This window comes from Homo sapiens, chromosome 1 (genome assembly GCF_000001405.40).
Source record: "Homo sapiens chromosome 1, GRCh38.p14 Primary Assembly".
Taxonomy (NCBI): Eukaryota; Metazoa; Chordata; class Mammalia; order Primates; family Hominidae; genus Homo; species Homo sapiens.
Window position 1 is genome coordinate 4,411,750 of NC_000001.11, and position 20,396 is coordinate 4,432,145.

The 20,396-nt window shown below is 45.5% G+C and overlaps 1 long non-coding RNA gene across 1 annotated transcript, besides 2 other annotated features; it reads left to right on the forward strand.

Moving 5' to 3' along the window:
* Positions 1-301: 301 nt before the first annotated feature.
* LINC01777 (long intergenic non-protein coding RNA 1777) lies at positions 302-12,935 on the forward strand. Its single transcript, NR_027088.1, has 6 exons — positions 302-883; positions 3,804-3,838; positions 4,563-4,799; positions 11,011-11,438; positions 11,599-11,699; positions 12,245-12,935. It is a non-coding gene; the product is annotated as a long intergenic non-protein coding RNA 1777 (long non-coding RNA).
* Positions 11,264-11,764: an enhancer, noted in NCBI's record as "H3K4me1 hESC enhancer chr1:4483073-4483573 (GRCh37/hg19 assembly coordinates)". NCBI's record gives its function as "activates a minimal SCP1, AML or CMV promoter by ChIP-STARR-seq in naive H9 embryonic stem cells {active_cell/tissue: H9 hESC(naive)}" and the evidence as "EXISTENCE:reporter gene assay evidence [ECO:0000049][PMID:30033119]".
* Positions 13,322-13,823: an enhancer, noted in NCBI's record as "H3K4me1 hESC enhancer chr1:4485131-4485632 (GRCh37/hg19 assembly coordinates)". NCBI's record gives its function as "activates a minimal SCP1, AML or CMV promoter by ChIP-STARR-seq in primed H9 embryonic stem cells {active_cell/tissue: H9 hESC(primed)}" and the evidence as "EXISTENCE:reporter gene assay evidence [ECO:0000049][PMID:30033119]".

Sequence of the window (20,396 nt, forward strand, 5' to 3'; positions counted from 1 at the left end):
AGAAAGAATTCGACTGAGGGGCATAAGGCAGAGGGAGAAACTGAGGCAAGTTTTAGAGCAGGAGTGAAAGTTTATTCAAAAGCTTTAGAGCAGGAATGAAAGGAAGGAACGTACACTTGGAAGAAGGCCAAGCGGGTGACTTGAAAGATCAAGTGCGTGGTCTGACGTTTTGACTTGGGGTTTTGTACGTCAGCATGTGTCCAGGGTCTTGCGTCCTTTCTTCCCTGACTCTTCCCTTGGAGTGGGCTGTGCACATGCGCAGTGCTCTGCCAGCGCTCGGGAGAGGAGCATGCGCAGTGTGTTTACTGGAGTTGTGCGCATGCTTGCTTGAGGCATTTTTCTCTTAACCAGCGCAATGTACTTAGGAGGTCATGCGCCGGTTAAACTCTGCCATTATGCCTCTTACTGGGCATGCTTGAGCCCACGGGCCCAACTCCTGAGATCCCATTCGGAAGCTGCTGATCACCAGTTTCAAGTGTTTCTGTTTATTGGGAGACTGCCTTCCTCTGGCACTGGCAGTGACCAATTATTATTTTAGAGAGACTGTTAACGGCCTGACCATCACCTGATGAATATCAGGAATGTGGCCTGACATTCCTGGTGTGTGTGGTGTGGGGTACGAGGGGAGCTCTCTCCTACGCTGCTCATGTCTGACTAGTTGGATTCTGCAGAGTGGAAGTGGGAAACTCCTTCTGACCCTGGCCACCTGTCTCCATGTGAAGGCAGATCCATTTGAGTGACAGTCCGAGGCAATACCTCAACTGCCTCTCACTTCCCAAGACAAATAAACCCACTTGACCTTGATGTGCTTTTTGTGAATACATTGTGAGATTGGACTTTCGGATATTTTATTTAGAATTTCTGCGTCTATATTCTTTGGGAGGTAGGCCTATAATTTTCATTTCTCATCATGTCCTTGCTCAGTTCTGATATCAAATTATACTGGCATCAGAAAATGAGTCAGGTATTTTATTTGCTTCATCTATTCTGGAACAATTTGTATAAGAAGACAATTTTCTGTTTCTTGAGGCTGTTGTGAAACTCTCCTTGAAAAATCACCATAATCTAGTGTCTGAATAATTTTTATAAATTTTATCTAAAAACCATTTCTTCTAGGTGTTCAAATTTATTGTCAAAAAGTTGTTCATGATAGTCCTATGATTTTTAACCTTCCTTTTGCATCTCTTTTTATGCTCCTAGTGATGCCTTGTGCCTGCTTTTTTCACCATGATCTGTCCACTCAGTTGACTATTTTTCTTTCATTAGTTTCCAAAGAAATATCTTTGGTTTTATCAATCAGCCATATTTTGTTTGCCTTTTCTGTTTTCTTAATTTCTGCTCTTATCTACTGTTGATTTTCTTCTCCTTCTTATAGGCTTACTCTCTCTTATTTTAGTAGGTTCTCGAATTGAATGATTAGCTCATTTATTTTATAACATTTTTAAATGCATTAAAAGCTATAAATTTACTTAAAGAATTGCTTTAGCTATGTCTTATGAGTTCTGACATAAAGTGGGATTTCTTTCAATCAATTCTAAATATTTTGTTATTGTTACTATGATTTTTCTTTAATCTGTGAATTATGTTATATGTAGTTTTAGTACATCTTTCTATACATATTTGTAATAAGTGTTTGTCTGCTTTTAGCATTACTCTTTTAAATGGCATATAGAAGGATTTTTAAGTTATCTAATTAGTCTCTGTCCGTGATAGGTAATATTGTCACATTTATTGTAAGTATTGGTATATTTATTTCTGTCTATTTTTGTTTTTTATAGATACTAGCTTCTATTTTCTCTATGTCTTGACTTGTTGTTTTTGATACAGCTTTTCTTATATCTTTTTTCCCACCAATTTGGAAGTTATTATAGTATATCTCTCCACATATTTTAGCTGGTAAACTTAAGTTGTTAACATAATAACTGTCTATTTTTCTAACAAAGTCTAAAGTTATTTGACGTTTCCCTCCTTTTCCAGTTTTCCCCACCGTACATTCTTGTTTTACATTTTAATTCAATACTCTTAAATACAAATTTCCAATTAGTGGTTAAACGCATTCAGCAAAATACTTTTATTATTATTTTTTTGCTCAGTATTATCTTTAGCAGACCACTCCTTCCCCTTTGGTTCACTTTTCTTCTTGTTGGAATATATCCCTCAGTAGCTTTCTCTGCAACCATCTGAGGGTGGTAAATCATGTTTTCTTCTAGTCCATATTTTAAAAATATCTTGGCCTCTTTTGCCCTCACTCTTGAACAATGGTTTCACAGGGTGCATCAAATATGGCATTTGCAGTTAGTTTTCTTGACAGTCTGAGGCTATTTATTCATTGTCTTCTAGCATCTACTGTCACTGAGGAGACATTTGTTGCCAGTCTCATGGTCTTTCTTTTGTCATGATATCTCTTTTCTTTTTGGTACCTCTAAATATTTTATTTCATCTTTCTGCACTGCAACAATGTTTCATCATAATTCATGTATACTTATATATATATACATTCATGTATATATTTATCCTGCTCAGCACTCCAAGTGTTTCATTAGCTGAAATTTCCTGCTTTTTCATTGAATCTAGAAAATTTCTAGCCATGCTTACTTCAAATATTGTTTATTTGCCATTCCCCTTGTTTTCTCCTTCCTGTGTGGCAGAATCTCAATTTCTTTTCCATATCTCTTAACTTATCTCTCATAAGATAAGATTTTTTCTCCGTCTGCTGCATTTAGAAGGAGCTTCACAACACTATCTTCCAGTTCACAAATCTTTCTCTGACCAGGTTCATATCCATTTGTAATTTTAAAAAGTTCCAGCCTGGGTGCAGTGGCTCATGCCTGCAATCCCAGCACTTTGGGAGGTCGAGATGTGTGGATCACTTGAATCCAGGAGTTTGAGACAAACCTGGGAAACATGGAAAAATCCCGTCTCTACAAAAAATACAAAAATTAGCTGGTTGCAGTGGCACACACCTGTAGTCCCAGTTACTGGGGAGGCTGAGGTGGGAGCATCACCTGAGCCTGGGAGGTTGAGGCTGTAGTGAACTGTGATCACACCCCTGCACTCCAGCCACCTGGATGACAGAGTGAGACCCTGTGTCAAAACAATAAATAAATAAATATATAAATAAATAAATAATGACTGTATGTTTTACTTCCAGAATCTTGAACTGAGCTTTGAAAAGTGATCTGTTTTTAATTCATATCCAATCATAATCTTTCCTTATTTTTCATATATTTCTTTCTTTACATCTTTGAGACCTTTAGATCTTTGAGACCATAGGGTATTCTATAGACATCTCGAGGTTTCCTGTTGTTTGCATTTCACTGGTGATGAATGTCTTAACTGATAATTGTCGCTTTAGTGTGTAAATCTTCTTCATGATGTTCAGAACCTTCTATTGAGTGGGTCTCTCTCTCCCTTCTGCCCTCCACCCAACCCCATTTGGTGGTTTCCCAGGTGCTTTTTCTCTGCCCCTGAGAATCCTGGTCAGAACCACATTGTATTGGAGGCCCCTGCTCCTGCCTGTCAAGATCCTGGGGAGAGCACAGGTGCAGTCACAGGGCAATTGGCAGCTTAGCCCAAGTCTGGACCACGTGACTGCTCTGCTTCCATTGGGACCGGCTCTCCCCGGCCTCCTTTCACTCGCTCCAGGTTTCATACATGAATCTGGCTGGGGTCTCCTGCCATGTGGGGTGCCTGGGTCCCTGTCATTTTCAGGAGCCAGATCCCTGCCACTTCCAATAGACTCTTGCCCTGGAGCCCTGCATGTCCACAGCTCTGCCTCCTCCTAACAATTGCCTCTATTGCAGGTACACGGAGCGCCTTCTTTTCGTTTAGAGCATTGGTAAGTACCTAAGTATAAATTCGATTGACCTTTGCTGTGTTGGAGAAGAGAGGACAGTTCCAAGTTTGAACTCAGTTGCAAAGTTTCCTAGCAGTCCAGCCCCACATCCCCCCAGGGCTTGGCTCACTGGAGATGTCTCTGAGTAGGAATGAACAAAGCAGAGTCGGTTCCTCCAATCTCATGTATTTTAGTATTTTAGGGTACTAAGAGTCTTCTCCCTCTGAAGTTATAGAGAGGGAGCTTTCCAGTGCAAGGAAGACCCAGGGCACAGTCTGTTCCTGTAACCCCAAGGCCACCAGGAGTCTACAACCAGGCTCCTTATCCAGTGGGGGGAGTGGAGCCTGCAGGAGAAGAAGGCAGGACCCATCAGAGGCCTGATGGAAACAGGGTCCCCAGCACAGCTGTGTGGGGGGCAAAAGCCATGAAGGGAGATAGTGAGGCTGCTCTTGGGTGGGCTGGTGATGCCATCTTTCCTAATGAGATGTTAAATGAAGTTATGGCAGACACAGACTCCACTGATTTGGGAAAAGATGATCAATGAATTCCCATCTTCAAGTGCACTTATTAGCTGCTGCCTGACATGACAGACTGAAAAACTTAGAGATGAAATTAGTGGTGTTGGTGTGTCATGACCCAGCTCAGTCTGAGTGGATATGCGTGTGTGTGTGTGTGTGTGAAAGAGAGAGAGCGAGCATTTTCTTAAATAACTAAAATTCTCTCGCAGGTGTCTCCACATTAGAAGCATCCTATGTAGCTGTTCTGCTTGCAGCTGCCCAAGTCTGCCTGGGCCTCCTGCATGAGGTCATGAGTCTTAATAAAGCCACTGACCCACACATTTGGAATCGTACTGACTTTTCACAACTAACAGCCAACACATTGCCAAGAAGCAATTCAATTGTTGAGGATATCACATCATGCCAGGGAAAGAGAGATGGAATTCAGAAAGCCTGGGATATTGCAGGTAATTACTAAAGCGTGTAGTTTATAGATCAATTTGCTCCATCTACTCAAATCCAAATAGTCTAGGACCTCAACTGCATGAAAATCTCTGTAAATATTTGTGTTAAAAGCCCCTTGGTAAACATTCCCTGTGGTGCATTTGGAGCCCAGGCAATAAAAGATGTTTTGTTTCAGTGCCTTCTTCCCACGATTTTAAAAGGAAATGGGAGAACTGTGCAGTCACACTGACATCCCGCATCCACGCGGAATCTGCTCAGCCACGGTGGAGCATCCATTGGTGCACCGAGGGGGATGGCAGGGGCCCCAACACACAACACGATTTATATCAAAGCAAGGAGTGGCCAAGTTTTCTCTTTCTAAAAATTCGGTTGCTTTAATTTCATGTTTAATGTGGCACAGACCCTATCCTATAAAGAGGGCGTGAACAATTGAGCAGCGTTAGACTGCACTGAGGTGATAACATTGATTAAACAAAAACGGTACCTGTAATCCCAGCACTTTGGGAGGCCAAGGAGGGTGGATCACAGGAGGTCAGGAGTTCAAGACCATCCTGGGCAATTTGGGGAAAACCCGTCTCTATGAAAAATAGAAAAATTAGCTGGATGTGGTGGTGTATGCTTGTAATCCTAGCTGCTTGGGAGGCTGAGGCTGGAGTATCACTTAAACCTGGGAGACAGATGTTTCAGTGAGCCAAGATCACGCCACTGAACTCTAGCCTGGGTGTCAGAGCAAGACTTGGTCTCAAAAACAAGTTAAAAAAATTAAAAAAATAAATAAAAAGAGGTAGACGCGAAACTGCAGTTACGGTGACCAATAGTCATCCGTGTTCACGTCTCTTTAAAAATTTGTATTACAAAAATATGTGTATGTATATGGCCTCTACTGAATTGAAAAGACCTGACATTGATAATGCATTTCATAACGAATATAATTTGATGATGTGATGAACATAATGCATCCCTAATAATCTCATGATTCTTTCTTTCCCTCAGCAAATAATTTTAAGCTTAGGTCATGTGTTTTAAACTGTGTTGGAAGCAGGGGCACTGTGGAGAATGTGCAGAAAGAGCTCTCTAACCGCACTTAATTTTCATTCTAGTGAGGGGGGCTGGTGGCTTCAAGAAACAAGTCAACAAAGGAGGTTATTTCAGGTTGTGATCATTGCTAGGGAATAATCACAAAGGGGCCGGGCAGTGACAGGTGTGTGCGTGGGGTGAGGCAGCTCTGAACCCTTCTCTTCTCCATGGCAGGTTCTCTCCATTCTCTCTCTCAGGACCCCCCATTCTTCATTCATGAGGCTTATCATCATTCTCTCTTCATGAGCCCCATGTGGACAGGGGCTTTATCCATCTCCTTTGCTTGGTCATCTCTGGGTCCAACATCCAGCCTGCCTGTGGCCGTTAATATTCTGCATGAAGGGATCAGTCTACACACAGAAACTTTGGCTGCCTGGTCTTGTTTCATGATGACTCTGGAATTATCATAATCCCATTCTTTTTAATTATTTCCACCATTCTGCTGTATGCAGTTTATGTTACAATTATACGTTGGCAACTAAATCTTTAATTGTCCTCTACTCATTTCATGGATCACTAGGAACCTTCCCCCCCGCCAACTAAATTACTTCTCAAGGGCAGGGATATGTCTTCAATTTCTTTATTACTCCTCACCATCAACGCATTTGAGCACTAATGTCTGGGCCGAGCCCAGTGCTCCATCCATACTTGCCGACATTGTAGAATGTGTATTATTCCCTGCGCAGTCAGTGGGGCTCTGCCGCTGGAAGAGAGAGGAAGCTTGGATAATTGAAATATCCCCATCTCAGACATTACTGACTAAGGTTAGGTAAGGGCAAGTCAGACTGACTTTCATATCTTGGGGTTTTATTTCCTGCTGTTTCTTGTATGTATTCTTTCAGAAAACCTTAAGAAGGAAAAGTCTGGGCCACAGAGAAAACAGGGAGGTGAAGAAAGATTCTCAAATATTTTTCTTTAGAAGTCAAGAGTTTGCTCTAATCAGTTTCAAGAAACAGCAACAACAGAACCCAAAGGCCATGATGAATCTGTTATGTCCTCTCTCCCTCGTCCCTCCTCCTCCTTCCTTCCCTCCCACTCTCCTTCTTTTGGACACAATCAGCTCCAAATGGAATAAACAAGGAAAATGATGCTTAGGTGGGTTCCACAAACACTGACGTGCTGATCACCATGAATGTGCTGGAAATACAGGATGCACAAGGTCTCCAGGAGTTCATGCCTATTGGACTTGGCAAGTGGACGAGGTGGGTGTTAAAGAAGGAACAATCTTAGTAGCTGCAAGTGAGATGGAGCACACATATTTGGATGGAGTGGGTTGAGCCACTTAAACATGGCGGGTTGGGATTCAAGCACAGAGAGCCCTTGGGTTCTCTACCAGGACAGTCATCTTCTTGCTCCTCTTATCACCTCCTTCAGGCAAAATTGTTCCCTTTCTTCATGCTCTGCCCTGCCACAGACCTTTCTCTAACACCTGAAAATGACTGGTCTTGCCTTTAGTCTTTTTTAGTCCTTATCACGCAACAAAAGATTGGCTGCTATTTTATCTCCTCTTCATTCAGAGTGAGGCAGTGTGGCAGGGTGGATGGCCTATCAGTGTAGATCAATAAGACATGGCCTTGACATTTACCGGCTATTAGATCTTGGCTGAGTTACTCAATGTCTTCTGACTTCCATTTCCCCTTCTGCTAAATGGAAACAGTAATTACCACCCACTGGGTGAGAAAGAAGATCCAGTGGGTTAAGGTTGGCAAAGTGTCTTGCAGATTAGAGAGGGCTCTCTGAATGTTAGCTAGTTATCATGACTGTGGGTTGGTTTCTATCACCAAGGAGTCTAAAATGTAGTTATAGAGGCAGAGTTCTATTTTGTGCTCCCTTTCTGTTCTAATGAGTCTGTACTATTAGGAGAACAGAACAGGTGGACATTTTTTGATAGATGAGTATAGGATATGAATCTATTCCACAAACATTTATTAACCAAACACCTGCTACAGAGGCCCTCTGTTTGACCCTGCAGACAACATAAAAATGAGGAAGACAGCACCTCAATATAGTCACTTTCTTTTTCCTATTTTGTCTGATGATATTTGTGGTTGGCAGAATAATGCTCCCCCAAAGATGTCTATGCCCTAATTCTTGGAACCTGACATATGTGACCTCACATAGCAAAGGAGAATGAAGATTGCAGATAGAATTACGGTTGTTCAGCTGACCTTGAGCTGGGGAGAAGATCCTGAATGACCCACGTTGGCCCAATGTAATCTTTAGGGTCTTTAAAAGTGGAAGAGGAAATCAGAAGAAAGAGTCAGAGAGAGAGAGAAGCATGAGAAAGACTTGGCCCAATGTTGCTGGTTTTAAAGATAGAGGGGGCCACCAGCTCAGGAATGTGGGAGACCCTCAGAAGCTGGAAAGGGCAAAGAGGTAGATTCCTCCCTTTTGTCTCCAGAGGAATGCAGCCCTGCTGCTGATGCAGGATGTTTTACTCCTTTGCTTAGCTAGGTCTGGGTTCTTGTCTCACAACCAGGAAGAATTAGGCACACAGACACTCAAAGACTGAGTGGAATAGACTTTATTAAGCGAAAAGAAAGCTCACAGCAAAGAGAGGGTTCCTGAAGGCAGGTTCTCAGTTGCCCCCTTCGCAGCTGAATACCAGGGTGTGTGTGTGTGTGTGTGTGTGTGTGTGTGTGTGTGTGTGTGTGTGTATATATATATATATGTGTGTATATATATATATGTATATATATATATATGTATATATATATATATATATATGTATATATATATATATATATATATGTATAAGGCACGAATTCCTAGTGGCTCCACCCCATCAACCCCTTGTGCATGCGGGCCCTTAGTCCACTGTGTGCCCCACTGTGCAAGTTCCTTTATCTGCACAAAACGTCTGGTATAAGCACCTGTGGGACAGGTCAGAGGTTCTCTGGGGACCCTTCCCTTAATGTCTGCCTAAAGCAAGCTGGCTAACTCCTTTCACTGCCACCTTGATTTCATCCCAGAAAGACCCATTTCAGACTTTGATCTCCAGAACAATGAGCTAATAAACGTGGGCTATTTTCACTACAAGTTTGCAGTAATTTATTATAGGACTGATAGGAAAAAAACCACAATACTCATCATGCTCTTCTTTTCAAACATTTATTTCATTCAGCCAATGTGTATTGAGTGCTTACTTTGTATCAGCCATGGATAAGTAATCAATATGAAATGTTGGCTGGGGACCAGACATAATTGGTCCCTGCCCTCATGGAGCTTACAGTCTAGCTGAGAATACAATGTTAATCAAATGGGGGGAGATTATCAATTGTCATGAGGGCTGAACAGGATGGGTACATAGCTCATGTCTTCTATTATCCCAGGCAATTTAGCAATGTTTCAGAAAATCACCCTGAGCCCACCCTGCCAGCCCTCATCCAGCCACTTCCTCTTCCAAGGATGAGAGAAAGGCAGGGACATAGCTGGCAGCAGAGGCCACCTTGTCCCCAAAGTGCTGGGGGACCTGTTCATCGGAGTGAAGCAGTTGACCAACTGCCCTTGACATTCCACCTCTGACCCTTTCGAGGCCAGATTGGTTGGCCAGGCTGCCTCCTTCTGTCTGTTTTTTTTTTCTGCACTGTCAATCAATAGAAAAGGCATCAGAGACATTTAAGAAGCACAACTAATCAGTGAAGCATTCAATTAATTAGGCAATCATTTTTCTGCACTTGATTTTCATTACAGTGAGTTTATTTTCATTTCTTGTGTAGGAAAAAACAGGTGCTCACATTTAGCTTCATCAGCTTCCTGTTGCCGTTGGATTCACGTATTATTTTAAAAATAGGTTTATTTTAGGGGAAAATGTGACCTGGGAAAACCCACTCGTATTTACTCCCCAAGGTTGCTGCTTTTGTTGTGGTGTTGGTGGTGTTTCTCCCTGCCCCCCAACACTGGGATGGTTTAAAAACATAAGTGAAGCTGTATCACATTCCACCAACCGTTGCTGAAGCCTTTGTTCCTTCTCAAAAGTTATGCCTTTTCCTTTCTCAGAGAGGAAAGAGGCCTAAATTTACATTTACTAGGAGCCTCTGAAACAGGTTATCCTCAATGTAGGTGGTGGGTAACATTATTTCCTAAAAGGCAACTGTGTTCACCCACTGACAGTTTCCAGGCCCCTCCCAGGGGGCTCAGAACTGCTGTAAACCCAGACCCAGTGGCATAAGGCTGGACGTGAGCCCAGCTGCAAACCCAGAATAATGACCTGCATACACACATTTCTCACTGCCTCTAGGATCAAATCCCCCATTCCGAGGCTCTCAGATCCCAGGATGAAAATGCTGCTGCCTGAGTTGGAATTGTCCTCGTGGTGCAAATAGCAGACTTAACAACATTCATGTTAATTACTTTTCCTGAGTGTCATTCTAAAAGAAAGAAATATACCAGTCTGCTTTCCGTTTTCAGATGATGTTGGCGGTCTTGTCCTCCAGCCCAACTACACTTGTGAGGTCTTTAAAGCACAAGTGAAGATAGTTAAGCTGCCCCTCCCCATCTCTCCCTCTCTTGTCTATTTTTCCTTTGTTTGTGATACGAAGGGTTAATGTAAAAATAGATGTTCTGCAGGCATCATAGAGTTCCTCTTTAGGTTCCCATGGAAACCGAGCAGCGCAAGTATGTGAAGAATTTTTTTAAGTTAGCCCAAGATTTTGTCCTCCAAAGATTTAGGGTCATTCTGCCTTGTGGTTTGGGGGCATTTTTTTTTAAAGTTTTTTTTAAGTAATTAATAAAATAACTTCACCTTCCCTCCATCCTCCCCAACCTACTCACAGAGCATTCTTTTATTTAAAGTGTCCAACACAAAGGTTATTTTGTGACATTTTGAATAATGCAACCCCTTAAGGGTATTTTTTTAAAGTTCTTTTGCAACAAAGTTTCTCCTCCCCAACCTCAGAAGACGGAAACAAAAGAGACATTTATTTCGTTCGATTTAAAGTGATTTGGAATTGCTGCTGGGGTTAGATTATGGGAAATTGCCCACCAGGGAAACAAACTTGGTCACCACCCCTGAACTGCAGTGATGACGTCCCATGGGGACACACAAGACAAACAAAATACTGAGAAAACCGAGGTTCTCACTCTGCCCACAGAGGGAGCTCCGAGTTGCAGCTGCCTCTTTCTGCTCCTTTTCAGTTCAGATAAATTGCACTTGGTCAACGGAAATGTCCTAAGGGCACTGCAGCTGCAGCTGGAGAATGAAGAAGACATAAAATTAGGGCTTTTGTCACTGTCGCTTGATTTCATTAAAGGGCATTAGTTCTCGGCGAGATATATGGGGTTGGAGAGGACAGGAGCCAGAAGCTCCCAGTGCAGCAGCAAGGCTGGCCCACGTGAGCACCTGGAGCATCATTTCTGCTGCCACATGCTTGGGCTGCCCCACCCCGCCGTGCCCTGCTCAGCCGTGCCCTGCTCCATCTCCCTCGCCAGGCCTGAGACCGGCCCCCAGTGTGTTGTGACTCCTGAGGTCTCTCAGCTCTCCCTCAACCCCCAGGAGAATTGCTCTCCACTCCAGAAGCCGCCTGATGGGGAGGCTGACCCCTCTCCAGGACTGACTGATCCAGGTACAAAGGGTCCCCTTGCGGCAGTGGTGGAGCACCCTGTACAGCAGTTTGGGCTCTGGGCTCTCCTTTGAGATCAGGCCAATGCCTGAGTCATCCTGGCTTGACAAGGTGGGATGAAGGTCTCCTCCACCTCCAGGTTCCTTCCTTCCCTCCTTTATAGGTTTATCCTGACAGTAACCTCTCCCCAGGTCGGAAGACCTCTCAGGCTCTGTTTCTAGGGAGGCTGACCTGCTGACAATGCTCCTAGCTGGATTTTGTAAGGTAAATATACCCTTTTATATGGGTTGAGTTATGTCCCCTTAAAAGATGTCAAAATCCTGACCGCTAGTATCTGAGAATGTGACCTTATTGGAAATCGGGTCTTTGCAGATCATCAGGTTGACAAGAGGTCACTGAGGTAGGCCTTACTCCAATAAGAAATGTCAAAGGTCAATGTCAAAGGATAAATCAAGTGTGTAAGGTCAATGCCAAAGGACAAATCAGATGTGAAAGGTCCATGTCAAAGGTCATATGAAATGTGTAAGGTCAATGCTAAAGGACAAATCGAATGTCAATGGTCAATGCTCAAGGTCACAAGTGTGTTCCTGACAAGGTCTTTCTCATTGACCAAGCTTTTGTCTGTCTTGGCCACCCCCAGTTGCAGCCCAGTTGCAGCAGGAGCCCTGCTGAGTCCACAGTGAGAGTCCCTGTCCCTGGGTCTCCTCTTGGTGGTTCCATCCACCAGCTCCTCATGGGCCCCCAGACTACAAATCCCAGGTGTCTTCATTGCATTTGGCATTGATCTCAGTCTCCCTCCTCCATTGCAGCGGTCTTGAATAAAGTCTTCCTCACTGTTTTAACAAGAGACAAGGTAATGTTCATTGAACATCTTATACAAAGAGGAAACCTGGCACAGAAGTGGACATGCACTCGGAGGGAAAATGCCAAGTGACAATGAAGGCAGAGATCAGGTGATGCATCTGCAAGCTGAGCAACATCAGGAATTGCCAAAAACCACCAGGAGCTGGAGAGGCCTGGGACAGAGCCTCCCACGGAGCCTCAAGGGAGCCAGCCCTGCCCACGCCTTGATCTTTGACGTCCGACCTCAAGAACTATGAAAGAACCCATTTCTGTTGGTGAAGGCTCCCCGTCTGTGGTCCCCTGTCCTGGCAGCCCTAGGAACCTGACCTCTGGTCCCTCTGCATCCCTGGCATCACTCTGCCTCCCTCTCTTTTTCTCCAGTGAATCCAACACACTCTCAGTGAGACAGCCAGGTGGCAAGGGGTTCTCGGAGAAACTCCAGCCGGCCTGCTCGCTGGGCATGTACACTGGAGTGGAGCCACAGAAGTTCACGGTGTTTGCAGCAGGGAGGAGCCTGGCCACTCCTCTTCCTGGTTGGAACCTGGAATTTATTTTGTGAGGCGGGAAGCCTATACTGGGGAGACTCTTGCTCTGCTGAGTCCCCATTCCCCCTTTATTTTCCTTTTTGCCCAATAAATCCTATTATTCTCAGTCTTCAAATTGTCTGTGAGCCTAATCTTTCATGGCCATGTGACAAGGACCCCGTCATTAGCTGAGCTAAGGAAAAGTCCTGCGACATCAGAAGGCTGAGTCCCAGGTCCTTTGTTCCAAGAGCTGAGCTTCCTCATGGGATGTGGGGAGGGGGGTCAGCGCAGGTGATCGGGAGGACTGAGGCTGTTGGAGGGGGACCCCAGAGGGAGGCTTCAGTGGCTGCATCCACAACTGGGCCACCTGGGCATCCTTCTGAGGCAGGTTTCTCTCCACGTGCATGGCGTGGCCCTTCCACACAGCTGTCACAAGCTAGGAGGCTCACATGCTCTTGGGATTCTCGGGACATCATGGGTCCCTGAGGGTGGCGCAGGCTGAGGGTGTGCTCCCCCGCCGGCCTGGCACAAAAACAGTAACATTAACATGCTTCTCCAGACCAAAGAGGCTGCTCTCAGTGTAATCAATGATGGCAGGGACTTCGAAATGTGCGTTTCCAGTGAACAACAATGTTTAGCCGCATGTAGTCATCAGGCACACCTAACTGGCTCCGGAAAGTGTTATGTTGTGAATTAAGATGACTGACGGAGAAATGTCAGTTTTATTAACATTCTTCCTTCGGACGATAATTTTATGTCTATAAGGATGAATTACAAAGGACTTAATGAAGGCGTCAGTCCAGAATGATGGGGTCCTTTTAGCAAAGCCTGCTTCCTTTCCTCGCTCTGTGTGTGGAGGTTTGATCTCTGCGTGGGGTATGGTTTCCACGTGCTGGACATGATTGGGCAAAAAGTCAACAAAACAGGCTGCTTGGCTTCAGGCTGACTGTGTAAAAGCCTCACCGGCTCAAGGAGGGATCGTCCTGGGCCCGACGGCAGCGAGTGAAATAGCAGCAGCGTTGCCATGGAAGATGGTTCCGTGGCACCCAGACATCAGCAGTGGGGCTGATGGGACTCACATCCACTCCATCACGACTTCATCTCCCAGGAAAGTGTCCTCCGGAGCTGGGAAGGTTCTTCCTTTGCCTCAGTCCCCGTTTCCTGCTCGTGTTCTGCCCAGGAGCCTGTGCAAAGGGCCCGTTGCCTCTCTCCGGCCCCTTGTGATGACTCCTCTCTGGGAAGTCCCCCACTTCCCGCACATTCCACTCTAGAAATTCCTTCTCTCTGCAGCGATCTGGTCATGTTTTCAAAAGGTGAGGTGCATTTTCAATTCTCAGCTCGCACCTAAGCTTCTGGCAGCTTTCAGGTGCCCCTAAAAATGGCATCCAAGGCTTCATCCTAGGCTACAGCCCCGCCCCCTTTCCGCCTGTGCCTCCTCCCACGGCCCCACCCACTTCCCTGCTGTGCCTCTTCCCACAGCCCCACCCCTTCCCGTGCTGGGCCTCCTCCCATGCCCCGCCCCTTCCATGCTGTGCCTCCTCCCATGCCCCGCCCCTTCCCGTGCTGTGCCTCCTCCCATGCCCCGCCTCTGAGCTCTTGCCCTTGCTGTCCCCTCCCCCCGGCATACCGTCCCCCTGGAAGCTTCCTTGCCCTCTCCGTTGTGTTGTGAGGTTTGAGTCAGGATGTCATTTATGAACAGGCCTGCTCTGAGCTCCCTCCTTGAGCTCTCCCCACCTGGTTCCGTGTTCTCACCTGCAGATTAGCCACTGCTGAGATCTCCTGCATGGACTTCCTACTTATGGAGGATCTCACACATGCTAGAAGGTTTCATGGGGAGGCCCTGGCTGCTCTGTCCAGGGTCTGGAGCAGGGCAGGTGCACAGCAAGGCAGCTCACTGCACGGTTGTTTGCGGAATGAAACGACTTTGCCAAAGCCATGGCCGCAGACATACGATGCTCTAAACATGTTTGTTATAACCATGTAAACACGCTTCTTTAGAAAAGCTTATTTCTTAGGAAACCTCTTTCAGTTTCTGTGGCAACAACTCAGATATTCCTGAGGTCCAGAAATGCGGCTGCTCTGCACGCTGGTCATGGGCCTCTCCTCACCTGCCCCCAGGACGGGAGCATGGGCTCCATCTCTGGGCCTCCTGAAAAATGAGATGTCGACTTGAGTGGCCTCCGACCCTGTGAGGCTGATGTCATCGCTCACCAGGCTGAAGTTCAGCCAGGCACTGAACCTTTCTCAGGCCCTCAAATTCAAACCCAGACCAACCTGTCACTCTCCTTTCCAAAGCATGGGCCACTCATCATGATCAAATGTCCCCTCTTCAATCTACACACTGCTTGGCATTGCCTGTTTGACTGTGAGAGACTCTGTGTCTGTGTGCATGCAACTGTGTGTGTATGTGAGCGTGTGTGACATTGTGTGTGTGTGTATGTGTGAATACAAGGAGGAGTGAGTGACTAAGAATGTGTGTGTGGGCATTTATGTGTGTGAGACAGAGTGGTGAAAGACTGCAGAGGCTAAGTGTGGGTGTGTCTGTGTGAGTGTATACAAGATGGGGAGTATGTGAAGCATGTTGGTGTGTGAGTGTGTGTGAGTGTTAGAATGTGTGTGAGTGTCAGTGTGACAGTGTGAGTGTGTATGAGTGCGTGTATGAGTGTGAGAGTAAAATTGTGTGATGAGTGGGTTTGAGGTGGTGTGCAAGAGTGTGCAACAGATTGTGTGTACAAGATGCAACAGAGATAGAGTGCATATGTACATAAGTGTGTAAACATGTATATGATATCCATGCATATATATATGGTGTGTGCCTAAATGTGCAGATGATATATAGTATACTTATGTGATATGTGTGTATAAACATGTATGTGATATAGATGCATGTATATATTGTATATATGTGACATGTGTGTAAACATGTACATGGTATAGATGCATATAAATATGTGATGTGTATGTATACACATGTATATGATGTGTGTGCGTGTGTGTGTGTCTTGGGAGGGCCTTGCTAGTCAGGGTGTAGTTAAAACATCAGCTGGGATCCTCCACCTACACAAAAACAAGGCAGTCAAAGGAGAACTTCACGTGGCTTGATGTCATTTCAATGAATGCAGAGTAGTGTTTATCTCTGGGCCAAATTCAGAGGCAGGGGATGGGTTTCAAGAGGGGCATGCACATGCAAACACACACACATATACACATGCATGCATGTATACACACTTGCATACACATACATACACATATACACACATGCACATATATACACGTACACACATATGCACACATACACGTGCATACATGTGTATGCATATATGCACACGCATGTGCACACACACATGCATACACACATACACTCATGCATGCACACATACATGCACATATATACACAAATACACATGTATGCATAGATATACACATGTATTCACACATATACACATACATATATATACATGCACACATGTATATGCCACATATACAGTTACATACACACATACATATGCACACATATACATACATATACACATACAAACATATATACCTACAGACACATATGTCTATACACATATAAACATACACTGATGTGTACACATATATACATGTATACATATACACACATATACACATACACACAGGTGTATACACACACATATATACATACATACACACAACACGGGAGTTTCACCCATATTGTTGATACTGTGGCTTTGAAGACAACTGCTGGTTTCAGTGTTTTCTACTTGAATATATGGCATTTCACAGTAAAAGCAGTAACCGAGCTCTTGTTAACAAAATGAACACTCCACATTTTTCAATTTTAATTATTTTGAAAAATCCAGCCCTTTTGTTGAAGGTACTTACAGGTGGCTTAGGTTCAGCTTCCTTTTTTACCCTCTGCTGGCTGTTTGTACTATGCAGAAATATCGTAGGAGAAAGAGTATCTACTGTCTTTCAACTGCACCTTGACTATATTCAGGTTTCAGTAGAATCCACATTGCGAAGTTATCTAGGCTCAATGAGATCTGATCATTTCTGCTCCCTCCTGCACCCCGTCAGCAAAGAGCAGGATTTGGGACCTCAGTTATGCAAAGTAGGGGCCTGGTGAAGACTGTGGGGTTTACAGACTGTGGCAGAGTCTTGCCATACACGTGGAAGAGAACTAGAGTTTTTTAAATCTGGAATTTCATAGCATAAGGCCCCAAGCTTTTAATTGCAGGAAGTCTCAGTGAAATAGTAGGAAAAAAATTATAACAATAAGAAACATATATTTGGTCTCTGTCCTCAGTTCCTGGCACAGAGCTCCCCAAATCCTTGGAATTTCCTGAGTGGTAGGGGTGCTGTGAGAAATCTTTTGTTCAAATGTTTCATCTTTGACCCTGGTTCCTGACACAGAGCTTGTAAATTCTTTGGCATTTCCTGGGTGACTGGAGCATCTTTTAGTCTAATAAGGTGACTCTTGAAGGCTCCTGGATGGGGCATGGTCATCAGAAAGATTGAGCCAGGATTAGGAGCCTGGAACTTTCAGCCCCATTCCCTTCCTCTGGGAAGGAAAGAGGGGCTAGATATTGAGTCAGTAATCCATCAGGCCTATGGGATAAAGTCGACATGAAAACCCCTAAACTATGGGGTTTGGAGAATTTCCATATGACCAAACATGTGGGTGCGCCTGTAGGGTGCAGCTCTGTAGAGAGAGCATGGAAGCCCCACACCCCAGCCCCCATGCCTGGCCCTAAGCACCTCCCATCTGGCTGCCCCTGTGTGCCCTTTGGAATCCCCTCTATTGGCATAAAATGCTAGTGAACATAAGCATGTGTTTCCCTGAGTTCTGTAAGCCATCCTAGCAAATTAATCGAATGGGAGAAGGGGTTGTGGGAAGCTCCAATTTGTAGTCAGGTCAGACAGAAGTTGGGGGCAAGCAGACTTGCAACTGGCATGTGAAGTGTGGGCAGCCTCTGGGACTGAGCCCTTCACCTGTGGGGTCTGATGCTACCTCCAGGTAGGTAGCATGAGGATTAAATTGAACCGGAGGACACCCTGTCAGTGACCCCTGGAGAACTTCTTGGCGTGTGGGGGAAAAGTCCCACTGGTCTGGTGTAGGAAGTGAAGTATGGGTAGCGGTGAGAGTAAGAGCCTGACTGGTTTTGCTTCTCTGTTTGCTTCTCTGTGGCCTCATACAGAGTCCCTGTAGAAGAGAGCCTGAGTTGGGTGCAGCATCAAGGGCTCAGGTGCATGGTTGATAAGCCTGTAAGAATGAGGAAATCCACACCTTCCCTGCTGTGCTCTGAATTTCTGTGCTCCTCAAAACCTCATATGTTGAAAGCCTCACACCCAAGGGGATGGAATTAGGAGGTGGGGGTCTCTGGGAGGTGATTACATCATAGAGACTGAGCCCTCATAAAGGAGATGAGTGTTCTTATAAAAGAGACCCCCTGGCTGGGCATGGTGGCTCACATCTGTAATCCCAGCACTTTGGGAGGCCGAGGCAGGAAGATCACTGGAGCCCAGGAGTTCAAGACCAGCGTGGGTAACACAGCAAGACTCTGTCTCAAAAAAAAAAAAAAAAAAAAAAAGAGACACGTAAGACCTGCCTTGCCCCTTCCACTGCATGAAGACACAGCAAGAAGGTGCTGTCCATGAACCAGGAAGTGGGTCCTCAGCACCACTGAGTTTGCCGGTGCCTTGATCTTGAACTTCCCAGCTTCCACAAATGTGAGAAATACACACTTTTGTCGTCTATAAGACACTAAGTTTATGACATTTTGCTCTAGCAGCCCGAACAGACTCGGGCCTTCCACCACGCATTTTTCTTAAGGAGGTGAATGTAGTCTTTGCCCTTTGAGCTGGCAGCCCTAGTTTGAGGGTGATGGACTCCCATAGACAGCACATCACCTGGTGTTTCCAGGAAGGGCCCCGGGGGGTTTCTGGCTCCTTGGGTATTGTGGCTCACTGTTAGAACCCTTCTCTCAGTAGGAGGATGAGACACCTTTACCTGTTGCCACCAAATCTCAGAGCCTTCCTGATGGAGAAGCTGTCTCCTCCACTAGAAGCTGGAGGTGGGCACGTTGAGGGGACAGGAGTGGATCTGGCAGTTGTCTCACTGAAGCAGTTCCCAGGAGCAGCACCATTCTGGAAGCTGGCCTCCATCCTCCCAGTGCCATGAGAAAGGCCAGTCCCAGGCTCAATGAAGAGACTTGTGGAGCAGCCCCACATGGCCCGAACTGGAAACAAACCTCTGCGGCTTGGGAGCCACTGGGATTGGGGGATTGTTTCTTACTGCAGCCTTTTAGTGAAACCTGGCTCCCATTGGCATGTTGCCCCCAAATCCTCCTTTGGGGACTTCAAGTCTAAAAATCCTCCTGAGCAAGAACTTGGGGCCTGTGTGGATCCAGGCACTGGATGTTTTCACAAGAGAAGCAGTGGCGAGAACAGATGCAGACCACGACACCCGTGCTCCTTACTGAGATGGGGATAGCATCAATAAGGAGGTGCCCAGTGCACATTTCTAGTCTGAAATATTTATGGATTGGCACATACCCTAGAAAGAAGCTGTCACAATCGGTGGCATGTGCTGGAATGCTGGCAGGACAGAATGATCAGAAACCAAGCTTAGAAACAACCCTGCTCACTGGCTTTCTTCCTGGCGAGTTATTGGGGCTAGTCCAGCCCTACAGCTCTCAGCTTCAACACTGGCATGTCTTGTCCTCCCTGCAATAACAGACAGACCTGATCCCTGCAAGATGGCCAGGACGCTGTCACCAGCCATCTCAGCCCATTCTCCCTCCAACCCTGGCAGGTTGGTAGGACAGATCTTACCCCTGTTTTAGACACGAGGGGCTGGAAGTGGGGGAGTTTAAGTGGCCTCTTTCGTCCAGGTGACAATGAAACTCTGATGATTACAAATCCCACATTATTGACATTATATCTGTGTCTTTCAATGTGCATTTTGCAGAAAACTACTTATGTGGATTATAAAAGATATGCTTTAAATACAGGACATATGTTTAAAAATATGGGGAATGCTGGGCTGCATGAAACTGATGCTGTCACCCCAGGGAGTCTCAGAGCTTTGCTACGCGATGGTGAACTGTGGATCTCCAGGCAGCAGCAGCGATCCTGTCACTGGTTGAATTTGGGTCTCAATTCTGCCCTCCCCTACAGTCGTGTCCTGTCTTGGTGTGGTGGCTGACGTGTACTTCCTTCTGCTTGAGTTGGAAGTGGCCACATGACTAGCTTCAGCTGTTGGAATATTCCAGGACATGACCAAGCAGGATCTGAAATATGTTGTGTGATTGGCTTTGCCTTCTTTCACCATAAGAAAAGATACGTGGACCAGGCGTGGTGGCTTATGCCTGTAATCCCAGCACTTTGGAAGGCCTAGGCAGGTGGCTCACCTGAGGTTGGGAGTTTGAGACCAGCCTGACCAACATGGAGAAACTCTGTCTCTATTAAAAATACAAAATTAGCCAGATGTGGTGGTGCATGCCTGTAATCCCAGTTACTCAAGAAACTGAGGCAGGAAAATCACTTGAACCTGGGAGGCGGAGGTTGTAGTGAGCCGAGATCATACCATTGCACTCCAGCCTGGGCA